At 49.9% G+C, this 19267-nt stretch overlaps 1 long non-coding RNA gene across 5 annotated transcripts in view, besides 1 other annotated feature; it reads right to left on the reverse strand.

Moving 5' to 3' along the window:
- LINC00673 (long intergenic non-protein coding RNA 673) overlaps positions 1–19267 on the reverse strand; it is a 189483-nt gene that overhangs the window by 146553 nt on the left and 23663 nt on the right. The window lies entirely within an intron of this gene.
- Positions 6905–7405: an enhancer, noted in NCBI's record as "H3K4me1 hESC enhancer chr17:70552918-70553418 (GRCh37/hg19 assembly coordinates)". NCBI's record gives its function as "activates a minimal SCP1, AML or CMV promoter by ChIP-STARR-seq in naive H9 embryonic stem cells {active_cell/tissue: H9 hESC(naive)}" and the evidence as "EXISTENCE:reporter gene assay evidence [ECO:0000049][PMID:30033119]".

Genomic DNA, 19267 nt, shown 5'->3' on the forward strand with positions numbered 1-19267 from the left:
TAGTTAGATTTTCAGCCTCTCTACGCTGCTACGGTAGCCTCTAACTGGTCTCCAGCCTTCTCCTCACTCCTCATCCCCAATCTTCTCTTACATACCGTGGGTAAGTAAATCTCTCCCAAATCCTCCTGTCCATAGCTTTGTTGGTGCCTCCTAAAACCAGCAACATCAAAGCCAAAACCATAACTCAGCATGGAGGGCTCTCCCAACACCACCCCCAATCCCTGCCTAGCCTTAAGCAGAAGCTGAGCCTAAGAATCTACTTTGTACACCAAATCTTCCCCCATAAACTACCATATGGCTGTGTAGATTCTAAGTCTCACTCTTCCCCTTGGCCTAGCAGATTCTCACCCACCCCTGCTGACCCTGTCACTGACACTGGCCCTTAAGTCTCTGAAATTAGGCAGGGCACCCCCAGGCTGCATCTCAAACTCCCCCCCTAGCTACTAGGGCTGTGGTCCTGTTCTCTGCATTCTGGCTCCTTTGCTCAGAACATCCCAAGCATCTCTATTTTTATGGGTACCCTAACCAGGACCCCCTCTAAATTTCTCTCCACCTCCTCCAATTAGCTTCAAGCCTTGTCCCACTGAGACAAGGAGGGCAATTCCTTACTCACGTCTGAGAGGTGGCTCCATGCCATTTTGTCCAGCAGGCCCTGAGGCATTTCCACTGTCGGCCAAGCCCTGACTGATCATCCCTAAACACTCTCCTAACCTCCTCAGCCCAGAAGTCCATGTGTCACCCTGGATAAGTGGCCTTATGCGATGCTATGACATCCATCCCTAAGGTCTACTCCCACAGTCCCACCTGCGCACAAACTTTTTTTTTTTTTTTTGAGATGGAGTCTTGCTCTATCACTCAGGCTGGAGTGAAATGGTGCAATCTCCACTCACTGTAACCTCTGCCTCTCGAGTTCCAGCCATTCTCCTGCTTCAACCTCTGGAGTAGCTGGGATTACAGGCACCTGCCATCACGCCCAACTAATTTTTATATTTTTAGTAGAGACGGGGTTTCACCATGCTGGTCAGACTGGTCTCGAACTCCTGACCTCAGGTGATCCACCTGCCTTGGCCTCCCAAAGTGCTGAGATTACAGGCATGAGCCACCACGCCCGGCCGACTTCTCCTTTTACATTTTTTTTTCCTGATGAATTTATTTATTTTGCTCAAGTATGGAAAAGAGAGTTCTCTTGGCCGCTAACGCCCCAATTAAAAAATAAAGCACATTGTGATTGGAGAGCCATACTCCATATAAATAATAAATGAGGCCTTAGATGGACACAGATAGAGCTGACTGGCAGGCGGGACATGTTCTCTGTGGCTTCTTTGGCCCTGAGGAAGCACATTTTTTTTGTTCGTTTGTTTGTTTGTTTGCTTTTGAGACGGAGTCTCGCTGTCGCCCAGGCTGGAGTGCAGTGGCTCGATCTCGGCTCACTGCAGGCTCCGCCCCCCGGGATTCACGCCATTGTCCTGCCTCAGCCTCCCGAGTAGCTGGGACTACAGGCGCCCGCCACCATGGAAGCACATTTTTTAAGACCAAAAAAATAGACAACCAACTATAATAAAGTGACATGGAAGACTAACTTGATAAATATAATATTCTGAGAGGCCAGAATGGGGAAAATGGCAGCAGAGAAATGTGTCCTCATAGATTTGAACTGGGTCATCTGAGAAGCTTTGACGATTGCTCTGAAGACTTCAGATTTTATTCTGGAAGCATGTTGAGGCATCAGAAGTGCCAAGAGCTGGGCGTGGTGGCTCAGACGTGTAATCCCAGCACTTTGGGAGAACGGTTTGAGGTTAAGAGTTTGAGACCAGCCTGGGTGACATAGCAAGATGCCCCTGTACCCGATCTTTTATTTTATTTTTTTATATTATTATACTTTAAAGTTCTAGGGTACATGTGCACAACGTGCAGGTTTGTTACATATGTACACATGTGCCATGTTGGTGTGCTGCGCCCATTAACTCGTCATTTACATTAGGTGTATCTCCTAATGCTATCCCTCCCAACTCCCCCCACCCCACAGCAGGCCCCAGGGTGTGATGTTCCCCACCCTGTGTCCAAGTGTTCTCATTGTTCGATTCCCACCTATGAGTGAGAACATGAGGTGTTTGGTTTTCTGTCCTTGCAATAGTTTGCTGAGAATGATGGTTTCCAGCTTCATCCAGGTCCCTACAAAGGACATGAACTCATCTTTTTTTATGGCTGCATAGTATTCCATGGTGTGTATGTGCCACATTTTCTTAATCCAGTCTATCATTGATGGATATTTGGATTGGTTCCAAGTCTTTGCTATTGTGAATAGTGCCTCAATAAACGTATGTGTGCATGTGTCTTTATAGCAGCATGATTTATAATCCTTTGGGTATATACCCAGTAATGGGATGGCTGGGTCAAATGGTATTTCTAGTTCTAGATCCTTGAGGAATCGCCACACTGTCTTCCACAATGGTTGAACTAGTTTACAGTCCCACCAACAGTGTAAAAGTGTTCCTATTTCTCCACAGCCTCTCCAGCACCTGTTGTTTCCTGACTTTTTAATGATCGCCATTCTAACTGGTGTGAGGTGGTATCTCATTGTAGTTTTGATTTGCATTTCTCTGATGGCCAGTGATGATGAGCGTTTTTTCATGTGTCTGTTGGCTGCATAAATGTCTTCTTTTGAGAAGTGTCTGTTCATATCCTTTGCCCACTTTTTGATGGGGATGTTTGTTTTTTTCTTGTAAATTTGTTTAACTTCTTTGTAGATTCCGGATATTAGCCCTTTGTCAGATGCAGCTTCTCCTTTTAAATAAACCAAAGAGCCATGCCTCAATTCCCCCTCCCACCAGCTGCATAAAAACTCCCAGGTGTAAACTGTTCACTTCTCCTTCTTTCCTCCTTACTGAGTGAGGTGAAGTCCCTTCTCAGAGAATTCCTGAGGTGTCAGTAAACCTTCCAAAGGCACATCCAAGTGTCCACAGCATCATCAACCCAGCCATCCCATAAACCTCTGGGCAGGTTGTCATGGAAACCCCTAGGAAAAGGGAATCTCCTTTCCATGGCTAAAGCCCCCGCTTAACCCAGTTCTCCCCTCACCTCCTGAGATCCAACTCCAGTAAAAATTGTCTCCTTTTCACCCCCAGCTTACGACTCAATCACAAGAGACAGGAGCAGCTTTCATATCCCTGCTGAGTGGAAGTGAAACCTTAGCCACAGGGAAACACGGATGGGAAGGCGGGAAGGGACGACCTTGGTGTAAGTGACCCCTGGTGGGGGTCACAGCAGGTGCCCAACTAAACACTTGGAAAAAAATAAGAAAATGTGTTTCTTATAAGGAGTCAAACTCATTAAACCAGCAGATAAAGACAGAAAGTCCCGCCCCCAGACGCGTGGAACTGTGAGTCTTGGCAGGTCACGCTGACGCATGTGAAAAAGACACCTGTGGAGGCAGTAGCCTCTGTGCACACAACTCACAAATGTGGATACATGCACGCACACATGTGCACATGTACACACTCATACATCTAGTTACACATGTGCACACACCCCATGCACAGCCCACACACACCCATCCACACACTCATCCACGTGGGCGCACACACACTCACACATGTGCAGACACTCCATGCACACATCCCACACATGCACCTATCCACACACTCATACACCTGGGCACACATACGCTCACACATGTGCACGCACCCCATGCACACCCCCCACACACCCATCCACACACTCATCCACCTGGGCACACACACACTCACACGTGCAGACACTCCATGCACACATCCCACACATGCACCTATCCCACACATGCACCTATCCCACACATGCACCTATCCACACACTCATCCACCTGGGCACACACACTCACACATGTGCACACGCCCCACACGTGCACCCATCCACACACTCATACCTGGGCACACACGCACACACACGCGCGCATACACCCCATGGACACATCCCACACATTTATCCACACAGTCATACACCTGGGCACACATGCACACACATACGCACACATTTCATGTACACATTCCCATACACCCATCAACACATTCATACACCTGGGCACACATTCACACATGTGCACACATCCCACACGTGTACCTATCCACTCATACACCTGGGCACACACACACACACACGTGCACACACCCCATGCACACACCCCACACACACCCATCCACTCATATACCTGGTCACACATGCACACACACACACACCCATGCACACATCCCACACACACCCATCCACACATACACCTGGGCACACATACACACACACATATGCACACATTTCATTTACACATTCTATACGTGCACCCATCCACACGCTCATACACCTGGGCGCACACACACACGTGCACACACCCCATGCACATACCCCACACGTGCACCCATCTACATGCTCAAACACCTGGGCACACATGCACACACACACCTGCACACACCCCATGCACATACCCCACACGTGCACCCATCCACATGCTCAAACACCTGGGCACACATGCACACACACACACCCTCACACTCGCCCCAGATTCCAAGAGCAAACCAGGGCAGTGTGCAGTCAGCTCCATCCAGGAGGAAGACGCTGACACTCAGAGACTAGAGCCACCTCCTCTAATCTCGAATCCCACGCTCAGCAGGCAACAGCCCAGATCATCAAGTGACCCCCTGGATGCCTTGAAACCAGGACGCAGGTGCCTCAGCCAGAGGCTCCTGGCAGTACCCCCTTGAAGAAGGGCGGCTGGAAAGAGACATCAACATCTGATGGGTGCACCCCTCCTGTGCTCCTCCAGAGCCATCTGTCATCAGAGAGCCTGGGCATCTCCAATTCTGATGAGTCAGCACCTCCAAGACCAATTCCCAGACCCTAGAGAATGACAGTTACCAGAGTGAGGTCTCCGACCCTTCTGGAGCTCTCCCACCCCATCCTGTCACCCCTGCCTCTCAGCCTGACCGCCATGTAACCCTGGGGGTGCTGAGAAGACAGGAGAAGGGGAGGGGAAGGGATAAGGGTGGCCCTGCACGTCTGGGGTCATCAGTCCTCACAAGACACCACGATTACAGACACCACAGAAATCATTTGGGCTGAACCGTGTGAGATCCAGATGGTCCAGATCCAAACCCACCATGCCCTGGCCATGACCTTGGAGATGGTACTGAGCAGTTGAAGATATCAGTGGCTGTACTCACCTTACAGATCATTCTGACGGCTAAGTACTGATAAAGACCTCTGCCTGGGAGAATACACGCATGACCTCCACCTTGTCAAGGTGAGAATCAATACTTTACAGATGATGAAGCTGGGGGCGGGGCACTGATTCACCCAAAGGAACACTGAGGGTGGCAGCACCAGGATTTCCACGCCAGGTTGGAGGCCAAGCCCAGCTGCTTCTCGCAAAGGAGACAGTGACAAGTGCTCACAGGTATCACCGTGGCCGACCACAGACACAGCCCTGATGCAGCCTCACCACAAAACCTAGTTCTCACCATACCCAAGACCCCCAGTTAGCCCAAAACCAGGCGAGCAATTCAACATACTCATTGTTACAGGCTCCAAAAACGCAGAGCCAAAAGAAATGACAAAGGACTATTCACTCAACACCTCAAACTCAAACTAGGAAATATCTTTCCAAGCATGAAAAAAATTGTTCCAGGACCAAGACAAGGAAAATGCACTTTCATAGGTATCCATGAGCCCATACTGATATAAATGAGTGAGTGAATGAATAAATAAATAAACGAGGGAGATGGGACAAAATGTCCTGATAGAAGAACTCCAAATAGTGTATTTGGACACTTCCCCCTCCAGGAAATTGAGCTTATGTCCCCTCCTATTGATATAAAGGGGCTGGACTTGGTGACTCTCTTCTAATGAAGGGTACAGAAAGGGAAAAACAGCAAATGCACAGTGAAGAAAACTGGCGGACACCACCTTAGACCAGTGATCAAGGTCAAGATCACCAGTGATGAACGCTGTTGACGTCACGTACCCACTGATTTGATGCAATGAGAACACTTCACTGCTGTATTCTCCCTGAAACCCCAGTTTATTATGAGAAAACGTCAGACAAAACCAAATGGAAGAACATCCTTCAAAATACATGACTAGCATTCTCTAAAATTGTCAACGTCACTAAAAACAAGAAAAGACTGAGGGAAACATCACAGAGCAGAAAAGACTAAATACAATGTGGAATCCAGACTGGATCCTTGAACAGGAAAAGGATATTAGTGGAAAAACTAATCAACAGAGACCAACTCTATGGTTAATAGCATGCTTCCAATGTTAATTTCTTAGCATTGATAAACGCACTATGATGATGTTGACATGCTTGTTGTATGCATATAACATAGTATGAAGATGTTAATACCAAGAGAAACTGGGTGAGAGATATATCAGAACTCCTATTATTATTATTATTATTTTGAGACGGAGTCTTGCTCTGTCGCCCAGGCTGGAGTGCAGTGGCACGATCTCGGCTCACTGCAACCTCTGCCTCCCGGGTTCAAGCAATTCTCTGCCTCAGCCTCCTGAGTAGCCGGGATTACAGGCATCCACCACCACGCCCAGCTAATTTTTGTATTTTTAGTAGAGACAGGGGTTTCACCATGTTGGCCAGGCTGGTCTCGAACTCCTGACCTCGTGATCCACCCACCTCGGCCTCCCAAAGTGCTGGGATTACAGGCGTGAGCCACCGCGCCCAGCCCAGGAACTCATTTTCTGTAAATGTATTTTCTGTAAACTTTTCCGTAAATCCAAAAGTATTCCAGAAAGTGGATAATGTGTGGAAATCTTCAATAACGCAACCTGTGTCATACAATGGGATGATGTCACAAAGCTGTATACAGTTTACGGGCGATAGGCAGCTGCGTCCTGCCCCTAATTTTTAGAATTAGAGCAGCTACCCGGTGCCAGGTGCTTTACTGTCGCTAATTCACAAAACGCCATGAACAGGAGCCTCCCCGTGAATGGAAAACCAGCAATGAGAGCGCTTCAGTCGCTTGACAGTCACATTCATGTGTGCACCTGATCCGGCGCTGGCTCCAAAGCCCATGTTCTTTCCCACACGCCCCACTGTGCCCCTCCGAGACTGGAACCGTAGAGAGCGACCACCTCTTTCTATCAGGCCCCAGTGCCCTGCAAGACACAAGACCCTCCGGGAGGGGTCTCTGTCCATGGGTCCATGGTCCCAGATGCTGGAGTGAGAGCTTCATTTGAAAGCCGATACACGGAATAACCACGAGGTGGCGACAGACCCCAGCAATATCCAGGAGAGATGCCCGCGGGCCCAGAGGAGCTGCCTGAGCTCAGGTGCTGCTCTTCGCCTGACTTCCCTGCTGGGCACAGCTGGTTATAAGGAGTTAATGCCTTTGCCCTGGCCACGATTTTTGTGAGGACAGAAGCGAGCCACTTCCCTCAAGCACCGTTATAACTCTGGAGGTCTATCTGTTAGGAACAATGCAGATTGTGCCTTCGCCGGCCTTTGGCAGAAACCGGCAGAGCTCTTTACATAGGACCACACCCCCAGGCACGCACACAACACACACACACTCACACACCCACTCACACACACACCCACACATACCACACACACCCAGACACACACACACCACACACATTCTCACACACACACACCCCTCCCCAGAGACACACAACACACACTCAGACACACGCCCAAACACGCACACAACACAGACACACATAACGCAGACACACACAACATATACACACTCATACACCCAGACACACAGAGACGCACAAGACTCAGACGCGCACACACACACTCATACACACACAGGCAGAAACCCAGATATACACAATCATACACACACCCACACACTTATGCACACTCACACTCATATACACACCCAGGCACACACACTCATACACCAAGATACACACCCACACACTCATACACAGACATACAGACACACACACACCAGATATGCACACTCACACATACACTCAGACACACTCACATACACTCTCTCACACACATACTCCTGGGAGGGATCCTGACATTCACCTAGGGGAGTCAGGGGCTACAGGCCTTGACAAGCATGCTAACAATTTCCAGTGTGGGTAACAGACCTGGGTCCTGGTCTCCCACCTTTTAAACCTCAGATGCTCCAGCCTGTAATCCCTACTACCTGGGTTTGAATCCCAGCTCTGTTACTTACCATTTATGTGACCTTGGGCAGGTGGCTTAGCTGTGGTCCTCACTTTCCCCACCTAGGGCCTAGAGACAGGAGCAGGGCTAAGCCCACTGGATTTTTAAATGTATAGCTGAAAGTCACTTGAATCAGAGCCTCATCAATGTCTGGCACTTTTTGCTGTTGTTTCTACCCCTTGAGGGAGTGTATTTACCCTGCCCCCAGTCCTCTGTATTCAACAGAATACAATTCTTGTATATGAAGACAACACGGGCTTACCATGACAAGCCTAGAAGAGGTCCTAATGAACAGGTGCCCTGCTATCTACTCAGGCTACGAAAGAAAAGACTAGAGATTCCTCCAAACTACAGACTCGATTCATGGGAGATGCTCTCCACCTCTAACTGGTTTCCAAGAATCCACCATAGTGGGCCATCTTGTTACCTAGGGAGGACTTGAGGGCACCCAGACCTCAAAGGATCCGCTAGGAAAGTCATGTGGGCAAAGCTGCAATGTTTTCTCTCTCCGTTCCTGAGAGTTTGGTTTTTCCAATGGTCAAAGTGAATGTTCAGGATCTACTGCCTTAAAAACCTTCTCTAGGCTAAAATGTGACAGCCCTATAATGACAGAGGACTTGCACACTCCAGCAGAGCATGCTATTCCTGTAGGCCCTCAAGTGTTTATATGAGACAGACTCAAGTGTTTTCTGGAAACAGTCATGTTGTAGCATAGGAGGGTGATGGAGCCTCCCAGGAAAGGGTGGCACCCATGAGTCCCCGGATTTTCCCTAGAAGGTGCCAGCCTTTACGACCTGTACAGAAGAGCTGCCTTCCAGGGGGCTGGCAGAGCAGAACTCCCCACATTGTGCCAGCTCATCGTCACCAAAAGCTCCACTGCCAACACGCACTTCATGGAGGGAGAGAGAAAAACCAGGGTTCAATCCGTTCTTTCTAGACCAGGGCTCCAGAAAGCAGGGGTCCTAGAGCAGGAGTCCCAGGAGTCTAGAGCAAGGGTCCCCTGACCAGCAGCATCTGCATCAACAGGGAGCTTACAAGAAATGCAGGTTCTCAGGCCCTGCACCAGAGCAACTGAATCAGGAACATTGCGGGTGGGACCAGCCATCTGTGTCCTAAACAGCCCCCCACAGGGGCTCAGATGAGCTCCAGCTGAAAAACCACGGGCCTAGATGCTCTGAGGAGTACGGTTCATCAAACCCAGCAGCCACTGCACTGTTCTGGCCTTCCTCAGAGTGACCTTTACAGACCTGCTGTTTTTCGTTTTTTGTTTTTCTGAGACAGAGTTTCACTCTCGTTGCCCAGGCTGGAGTGCAATGACATGATCTCTCGGCTCACTGCAACCTCCACCTCCCGGGTCCAAGGGATTCTCCTCCCTCAGCCTCCCGAGTAGCTGGGATTACAGAGCCTGTCGCCACGCCCAGCTAATTTTTTGTATTTTTAGTAGAGACAGGGTTTCACCATGTTGGCCAGGCTGGTCTCGAACTCCTGACCTCAGGTGATCCTCCCACCTCAGCCTCCCAAAGTGCTGGGATTACAGGCGTGAGCCAGCGCACCCAGCCCAGACCTGCACTTTTGTATTTATGTCACAGGCCTCCTTAGTAGAAAGTGGCGGGGAAAGAACCTAGAAGATCCTTGAAGCTCAGAATTTCCTGTGGGAAGAGGATGCGTCCACCACAGAGCATTCCTGGGGAGCCCACGCATCTCTCTGCACAGTGGCAGCCCGTGGATAACTTCACCTAATAAGAATTGATAGAGCTGACCCAGAAAGTACTAGCCTACACCGGACCATAGCCCTGCCACCCCTAGCAATTATATAGGGATTAGAGCAGAATATTTTATCCCAGCTTTCCCCGTGGCTTTTATCTTATTTTTCCTTCCTTTATTTATTTTTATTTTTTTAGATACAGGGTCTTGTTCTGTCACCCAGGCCGGAGTGCAGTGGCGTGATCGCAGCTCACTGTAGCTTCAAACTCCCAGCTCAGTCTCTGAAGTAGCCGGGACCATCAAGCCGGCTAATTTGTTTTTTGAAAAGATAGGGCCTCACTATGCTGCCCAGGCTGGTCTCAAACTTGTGGGCTCAGGGGATCCTCCTACCTGGGCCTCCCAACGTGTTGGAATTACAGCCATGAGCCACCGCGCCCAGCCTTTATTTCCTTTACTTATGAAAATAACATTTTAAATTAAATGCCTTAAGTCCTTTTGGCGATAGACCAGGTATGTTCAATAGTCTGCCAAAGACATGTGAGTTTTCTAAAGCTATTTCCATCCATGTCGGATTGGGGTGAGAGAAGGGAGACCCAGTTAGGCTGCTGGTAAATGTGTACATGGCCTGCACCTGCAATAATATAACCTGAACACTAGAGGGCACCAGAGCCCAAGAGTCAGGCAGCCCCAGACTTGGCCCTGAGCAGGAAGCACCAGGCGCAATAAAAGCCCCCTCCAGACCCCATAACTATCCAGGCTGCAAGAGCTGCAAGATCCAGACCCTCCTCAGCCTCACACCTCCAAACACCCACCTGCCCGTGTTCACCTGTGGGGTGGTCAGTAAGCAAGTGCCCAGGGACACACGGAGCAGGGCTGCAACCCCAGGCCATCAGTCGGCCTGTGCTCTGAGCCCCCACTGCGTGCCAAGTGCTGCAGGGAGGGAACCATGATGGTGCCGTGCACGTGTGCAGAGCCTATCACTTACCAAACATGTTCGCCCACACACAGACACACAGACATGCACACGCCACCTCTTTATATCATCCCCAGCACCCAGTAAGGCCAGCTCCATCACCCCATCCTGCTGATGAGAAAAATGAGTCCCAAGAGTGCACGGTGACTTCTCAGGGTCAGACATCCTGGCTGGTTAACAGCCGCCCAGCTGGGGAGGTCCCACTCGGCCCAGGGTGGTTTTCCACTTTAGCGCAGCACCTCCCAAAAAGCAAACATGAACCTGTTCTCGGGAGTCCTGCCTGCGATAACCTGGAGCTGGGCTAAACCTGGAGTGAATGCTGTTAACCAAGCTCAGGGCGGGTTTCCAGGAGGCTGAGCTCGCACAGCCACAATGGCAAAGCCACCACTCAGAGAGCTGGAGCCCTTTAGTTTCCCGGCGCCTCCTGCCGGTTCTTCCCGTAAACGTCTGTGGCTCATGCTGCACAGTATTCGGTTGCATCTGCTGCTTCATGGCTCTGTAAAAGGCAAGGTGGGGGGCTGTGTATATGTACGCATGAGTATGCATGCACGTGTGTATGTGCACATATATATGCATTTATGCACCCCCTAGAGGCACTATGGGCCATGAGGGACCTGCCTGTCCCTCCCTGCACCTCATTCTGGCCACAGTGGCCAGTCCTCTACCCCTGTCCCCAGCCGTGTCCTGCCCCAGACCCACCGGGAAAATGCAAGGGAGAGACAAGGCACCCTGCACAAATCCACAGACGCTTACAGGGTGACACCAGAAAGGAAACCTCCAGGCAACCTACCTGTCCCGGAGCTCACAGGGAGTGTGGCCCTCCCAGACACCCAGCCTGACTCCCCAGACACAGCCATCATCCAAAAATGGCACCACAGAGGCAGCCATCAATTATTTTGTTTCTAGTCTTGCTCAAGTTTTTTGCACTTATTCCCTTTTTGTCCTAATAAATAATTTCCATCAAAAGGAATCCCGCGAACATGGCTATTTGGCAGAGAACAATCATATGTCAAACTTTCCTACATCTACAAGAAGAATGGATCTGTTGAAACCCATTTAAGTCTCAAATGATGTATACAGAATATAGAGAATATTCTTTGCCACAGATGAGAATATCCCTCTCGTTCTGAAAATCTGGCTGAGCAGGGCCGGTGCTGGAGCAAGGTCCGTGCTGGAGCAAGGTATGGGGGAGTCCTCTTTCCCATGACCACTTGCATGGGTGTCTTCATGAGACCCACTGGGCATGGTGGTGGGGAGAGGGCTCATGGGGCTGAGCTCCTGGGGGTGAGCTGTAACCCTTCTTTGGGGACTTTTTATCTCAGACTGAAGGGCTCAGTCTCGGTGACCAGGGCAGATTCTGCCACCCTGCAGCTGTTTTGGAGGAAGGTCAGGGAGGCCCATGAATATGGAACCAACCAGGAGGAGGTTCTTGGGACACACAGATCCAGGACAACACAGCCCCAGGCTGACGTCCCCATCAGACCATCCATGAGGCACAAACCAGCGCCCGCCATACTCTGAAGGGCCCATGAAAATGTTTTAACTTCTTTTAAAATCAGGGGAAAAAAAAATAGAACACATGCTTTTAGGTAAAAAAAATGTTTTAATATATCATAATATTTGACATTTTTAATATATTTTTTAAGTAGGAAGGGATCCAAGAGGGCAAAGTTGCCCAGAACCTGCAAAAGTCAGAATGGCTAGAGTGGCCCGGGAAGTTTCCAGAACTCCTGAGCTGGGACAGCCGAGGTACACTGACAACCGCACCATAGACAGCCCCCCAAAGCCAGATGCCCCTTCTCGTGGGCCCTGAGAGGGGAGTTACTGCACCTGCCAGAGCACAGCTACATGGCCCAAGGTGCTTCCAGCTGCAATGAGACCCTAAGAACTCTGTCCACTTAGGAAAGGTTCTTATCCAACCCCGGGGCCAGGCAGGAATGGGCGTGGAGAGCTGGGTAACAGCAGAAAACCAGGAAGATGCAACTCTCCCCGTTCTCCTGAGACAAACCCTAGTGCAAGACTCCACTGCATTTCCTTCCATTTCTATTGACTATGGTAATATGCACATACCACGCAACTCGGCATTTTAACCTGTTTCAAGTGTACGATGACAGCACATTCACAGTGTCGTGCAAGCATCACCACCATCTAGGTCCAGAGCACTATCAGCCCCTCTGAAAGGAAACTCCACCCCATTCATCAGCCACTGTCCACTCCCTGACCCCAGCCCAGCCCCTGCCAGCCACTAAGCTCCTTCCTGTCTCTGTGGGTTTGCCTATCCTGGACATTTCATAGCAATGGGATGTGCAACAGGGGGCCTTTTGTGTCTGGCTCCTCTCAGCCTCAGGTTTTCAAGGTACCTCCATGTTGGTAGCACATGTCCATGCTTTGGTCCTTTCTATGGCTGAATAATGCCCCCCACACACACACTGCCTGCTACCTTCCATTGGTTTTTCTCCCCTTAGGGGCATGAAAGTGCTAATAAAGGAAAGCTGAAACCTCTATGACTTATGTTAACAAACCTCAGCTCCAAGCACTCACCTAGGTAAGAGATGTGGGTGCTGAGAACTGAAAATGAGCAGGCACACGCTTTTTTATTATTTATTTTTGTTTTGTTTTTTTTTTGAGACGGAGTCTCGCTCTGTCACCAGGCTGGAGTGCAGTTGGCGCCATCTCGGTTCACTGCAACCTCTGCCTCCTGGGTTCAAGCGATTCTTCTGCCTCAACCTCCTGAGTAGCTGGGATTACAGACGCTCACCACCATGTCCGGGTGATTTTTGTATTTTTAGTAGAGACGAGGGTTTCATCATATTGGGCCAGGCTGGTCTCGAACTCCTGACCTCGTGATCCACCCGCCTTGGCCTCCCAAAGTGCTGGGATTACAGGTGTGAGCCACCACGCCCCACCTATTAATTTATTTATTTTGAGACAGAGTCTCACTCCATCACCCGGGCTGGAGCGCAATAGTGTGATCTCGACTTATTGCAACCTCTGCCTCCCGGGTTCAAGTGATTCTCCTGCCTCAGCCTCCCAAGTAGCTGGGATTATAGGCAAGCGTTCATAAATGTTCCCATACACGTCTGTGGCTCATGCTACATGGTATTCGGTTGAATCTGCTGCCTCATGGCTCTATAAAAGGCAAGGTGGGGGGTGTGCATATGTGTGCACATGAGCATGCATGCACGTCTGGCTATTTTTTCATATTTTCAGTAGAGACGGGGTTTCACCATGTTGGCCAGGCTGGTCTCGAACTCCTGACCTCAAGTGATCCTCCCACCTTGGCCTCCCAAAGTGCTGGGATTACAGAAGGCAAGCACATTTTTAAACCACAAAACACAAAAAGTCAGATCCACCTGCGAGCGTGCATTCTGTCTGGCGTCAGCCCTAATAGTCTCCCTCTCTTCCATCATTCAGGGCCCCAGGGAGTCGAGTGCTTACTCAGCACTTAGACCAGGGGATTCAGGGATTTCTGCCTGGAAAGCCCCGTCTCTCCTGTCTTGGTGGTAACCTGGTCCCTTTTACCTGCAGCTCTGGCAAACGCCAGCTGCTGGGTGCTTCCTCCTCCTTCATGAGAAAAGATGAGAAACTGGGGTAAACAACCCACCAAGGGCAGGTATGGAGAGAAGAAGGAAAGGCTAAGACACAGATGGGAGAAGACAGACAGGGAGAAGGTAGGGAGAAGATGACCCATTTGGACCTGCTCCTCAATGCCCAAGAAGCAGAGAGTTTTTCAAGGACAGCTTTAATAATAAGAGCTCTTCTTCGAAGCTCAGGGGGATGGATGGAGGAAGAGTGTGAGACCCACAGCAAGAGCAGCAAGCTGACACCTCCCTCGCCACAGCTGGAAGCCGCTGCCCACTGACCAATCCCATAGACGCCCTTCACTCCCCAGCCTCCACACCCCTGGCTAAGAGGACCCAGAATGGATAGCACAGTTGTTTTTTTTCCCCCTCTCCCAACCTCCCTGGGGCTCAAGGAACGGGATAAGGGTTATGACTGCCAGATCAGAGACTCAAGTCACTTCAGATGTTCCTTTTTTTTAAAAAAAAAAAAAAAAAAAAAAAAAAAAGGCCGGACGCGGTGGCTCATGCCTGTAATCCCAGCACTTTGGGAGGCCGAGGTGGGCGGATCACGAGGTCAGGAGATCGAGACCATCTTGACTAACACGGTGAAACCCCATCTCTACTAAAAATACAAAAAAAGAAAAAAATTAGCCGGGTGTGATGGCGGGCACCTGTAGTCCCAGCTACTCGGGAGGCTGAGGCAGGAGAATGGCGTGAACCCGGGAGGTGGAGCTTGCAGTGAGCCGAGATAGTGCCACTGCACTCCAGCCTGGGCGAAAGAGTGAGACTCCATCTCAAAAAAAAAAAAAAAACAAAAACAAAAAAAAAAAGCAAGGCACAAAAGTGCAATCTGTGGTGAAAAACTGGAACTCAAAGGCCAAGAGTTAAGGACTGGTTAAGGAAACAATGGCCCACTGACTCACTGGCCCTCAAGCACCATTGAAGATAATTATCAATGTAGGCTGCAACATAGAAAATTGGTCTTATTATAAAGTGAAAGAAGGAAGATACGTAGAATATCCATGGAATGGTTCCATCCTGCCAACGCGATATGAACATCTGGTCCAGAGCTTCAAGAAGATAACAAATGTATTTCATCTCTAGGCCTCTGTCAACTTTTCAAATTTTCTACCACTGTTTTCACACCAAGACCACCATAACAGCCTTAGCATTATGCATTTGCAACTTGCGTACCTCCCTGATGTTTCCCGTCCCCTCTCTCCCTTTACAGAAGCAATTACTTGGGCCAGGCACAGTGGCTCACGCCTGTAATCCCAGCACTTTGGGAGGCCGAGATGGGTGGATCACTTGAGGTCAGGAGTTCGAGACCAGCCTGGCCAACACGGTGAAACCCCGTGTCTACTAAAAATACAAAAAATTAGCTGGGCATGGAGGCGGGCACCTGTAATCCCAGCTACTTGGGAGACTGAGGCAGAAGAATCACTTGAACCCGGGAGGCGGAGGTTGCAGTGAGCCGAGATCATGCCACTGCACTCCAGCCTGAGCAACAGAGTGAGACTCCCTCTCAAAAACAAAAAAAAAAAAAAGAAGAAGAGCTCTTGGAATAAGAGCTGGGCCGTCCACCACACGTGTGTTCGTGTGCACACGCACACACACAAACACTCGGCAGTTCCACTTAACCATTCTCAAGTCAGAGCAACTGGTGGCTCTTGAGGCCAGGCCATCAGCATGGGGAGGACAATGTGGCTTTTCTCTTTCAAGGGCTGTTTGCTTAACACTGAGACCTCCTGAGCCTGAGCAAGGTTATGAAAGGGGGACGACTTCTCAGCTCTCAGCGTCTGGAAGGAATCCCAATGCACACTGCTCCCTGGTTTCTGATGTTCCTTGTGCCCAGTGGTCCTCCTGGGATGGAAATGCAGGGGCAGAGAAGAGGAAGATGGACTACAGCCAAGCATCGCTGGGGATGGAGGATGGCGTGGAAAGAGGGTGCCCCAGGGCCACTGGGCAAGCCTAGAGATTCGTTTCTCCTTTGAGTATCTCCCAAAAATTCTTCACTGGAACTCGAGCCTGGAAGTCCACTCAAGGGAACAAATCATCCATAAGCAGCAGCCATGTGCCAGGCAGGTCCAAGAGCAGAATGGAAGAGTCTTCAAGGATTTCCAGGATGTGGAGTTTGAGAGTGGAGGAAGAGAAGAGATCAGAGGCCAGGAGTTCACCAGCACAGCCCCAGTTCCTTGCACCAGGACAGTTTCATGGCCAAGCCCTGCTACCCTGTTAGTCAGGGTACCCGGCCACCCTTGAGACTCATTGGCTAAAGAATTCACTCACTACACCGCTGTCCGGTATGGCTTTTGTCCTGTTACAAAAACCCCCAGTTTGGCCGAAAGATAAAAATGGAAGGGAAAAAGAAGTTTCATGGTATTACTTACATAAGATTAAACTAAAAGTTAACATTCTCCTACTCCTCAATAGCAATCTTAAGCAAATTATATTTGCTTTGCAGCATAGTGTACAGGCATTCAAAATCAACACAAAGACAAGGACACAGGCATGAGGAAAAACAAAAACAAAAAGATTAAGTTAAATGGTGGGAATCAAACTGCATGCTCTAAGATCATGACTCTGCAAAACTCAAATACAGACCAGGGATAAAAGAGATTGTCAAATGTGTAAATACATGACAGGCTCTAAGATCATGACTCTGCAAAACTCAAATACAGACCAGAGATAAAAGAGATCGTCAAATGTGTAAATGCACAACAGGCTTTTTTAAATGCAAAGTTGTTTGGAATAACAAATATACCTCCAATAGCAATATAAAATCGAAAGAGAAACTTCTCAGAGGACCTCAGTGGATGGCAGCAGAGAACATCATTGCATCTCCACGTTCAAGGGTCTAGCCTGCTTAACCAAAGCCCCGTTGTCAAATCAACCTACAGTGTGGAATCAGCATCTCCTGCCATCTTCCTCCTGCCCCTGACCATGGGTTATGAGCAGGCACTGCCCCTGCAGCCTCCGACGGGTGATCTAAACACTGCCTGCCCCAAGCTGAGCTTTCCAGCTTCTCTGGCCACACCATGGCTGTAGTCCCGCACTGCACCCCAGCAACCCTTGTTCACTCTTCCGCCCAAGCCTTAGTCCTCTCTTCTGAGGCTCCCTTCCTCCCTCCCCACAGCTGTCCCTCAAGGTTCCACATCTACCTTCTTGATCATCTCATGCACCACCATGGTCTTCCCTATCTGGGAGCTGTGGTCCATTCATTCTGTTCTCGTTAGTGAATCGCTGGATTGTTTATCTCACACCTTCTCTCCCAACTCCTGGCTATGAGCCCCTGGATGCCTGGGGCTATGTCAATTTCACTTTCTCCTCCTCTGCCTACATCAGACCTTCGATATGGGTTTGCTGAATGAATAGGTGGCTTCTCCCTTCCTGTCTCCTTCGACTGAGGTTGGGATGGTCAGGAGGAAGCCTCAAAATTAGATGAATGCATATCTCATTTTTCATAACCAATAGCCTACAAAATCAGCTGGGGAAGAGAAAAATCAGCCACAGCATGGGAAGCCTTGGGGAGGGGAGGGAACTTCCCAACACCCCCCTGCCAACACACCCCAGAACCCATCTAGGGGGTTGGCGTGGGTAGGAACAATGAGAGGGGAGAGTCCAGTCCTTCCTGGCCGGGAGGAGGGCTGGACCATGTTCCAACCTTCCACTTACTTTAATTGCCAGGAAACAACCCTTCTCTGTCTGTCATTATAACTTAATTAAGCTACAACAGCCGGAAGGAGGAGGCCAGGTCCTTCAAAACTGGCAGGCAGGGTGAAAAGCCTGGTCAGGGGCCTGGGCAGGAAGGGCTGAAGACCCCCCCAAGGGCAGTCCCCCTCACACACACAGGAGCCTCACCTTTGTTTCTGGTTAACCCATTCACTACCAAGAATGCAACAGTCTGGACACACAGAGAAGGCTCCATGAGAAGTTGGTGACGGTCACTTTCTCAGAAGCATTATACTAAGCGAAAGAAGCCAGACGCAAAAGACTACACGTATGATTCCATTTCTATGGAATCTCCAGAAAGGGCACATTTATAGAGACAGAAAGCTGATCAGGCCAGGCGCGGTGGCTCACGCCTGTAATCCCAGCACTTTGGGAGGCCAAGGCGGGCAGATCACCTGAGGTCAGAAGTTCAAGACCAGCCTGGGCTAATTTTTAGTAGGGATGGGGTTTCGCCATGTTGCCCAGGCTAATCTTGAACTTCTGAGTGTCACAGAGCCTGGTGCACAGCAGGTGCTCAGTCACCCTTAGGTGATGGCCTCCCTGAGGAGGAAGAGCCACGCATGGGTGGGCAAGAGGAAGAGGAAGAGCATTCAGGATGGAGAACACCCTAACAAAAAGCAAAGTGTGCATTGCAGAAGGAGCACTGACCGCAAAGGGGCCTGAAGAGACCGCCTGGCAGACAGTGTTTCCATCTCCCTAAGAAAACCTCCCGGCCGGGCACGGTGGCTCACGCCTGTAATCCTAGCATTTTGGGAGGCCAAAGCAGGTGGATCACCTGAGGCCAGGAGTTCGAAACCAGCCTGGCCAACATGGCGAAACCCCATCTCTACTAAAAATACAAAAAATTAGCTGGACATGGTGGCGGGTGCCTATAATCTCATCTACTTGGGAGGCTGAGGCAGGAGAATCGCTTGAACCCAGGAGGCAGAGTCTGCAGTGAGCCAAGATCGCGACACTGTACTCCAGCCTGGGCAATAAGAGCAAAACTCTGTCTCAAAAAAAAAGAAAAAAGAAAAAGAAAAAAGAGAAAAGACAACCTCCCAGACTCCACAGCTCAAGATGGCAAGCCTAGCCCAGGGCAACATCTACTCTCCTTCCTCCCTCCTCGGCTCTGAGTCCCCCTCGGAA

The sequence above is a fragment of the Homo sapiens genome, chromosome 17 (assembly GCF_000001405.40).
Source record: "Homo sapiens chromosome 17, GRCh38.p14 Primary Assembly".
Taxonomy (NCBI): Eukaryota; Metazoa; Chordata; class Mammalia; order Primates; family Hominidae; genus Homo; species Homo sapiens.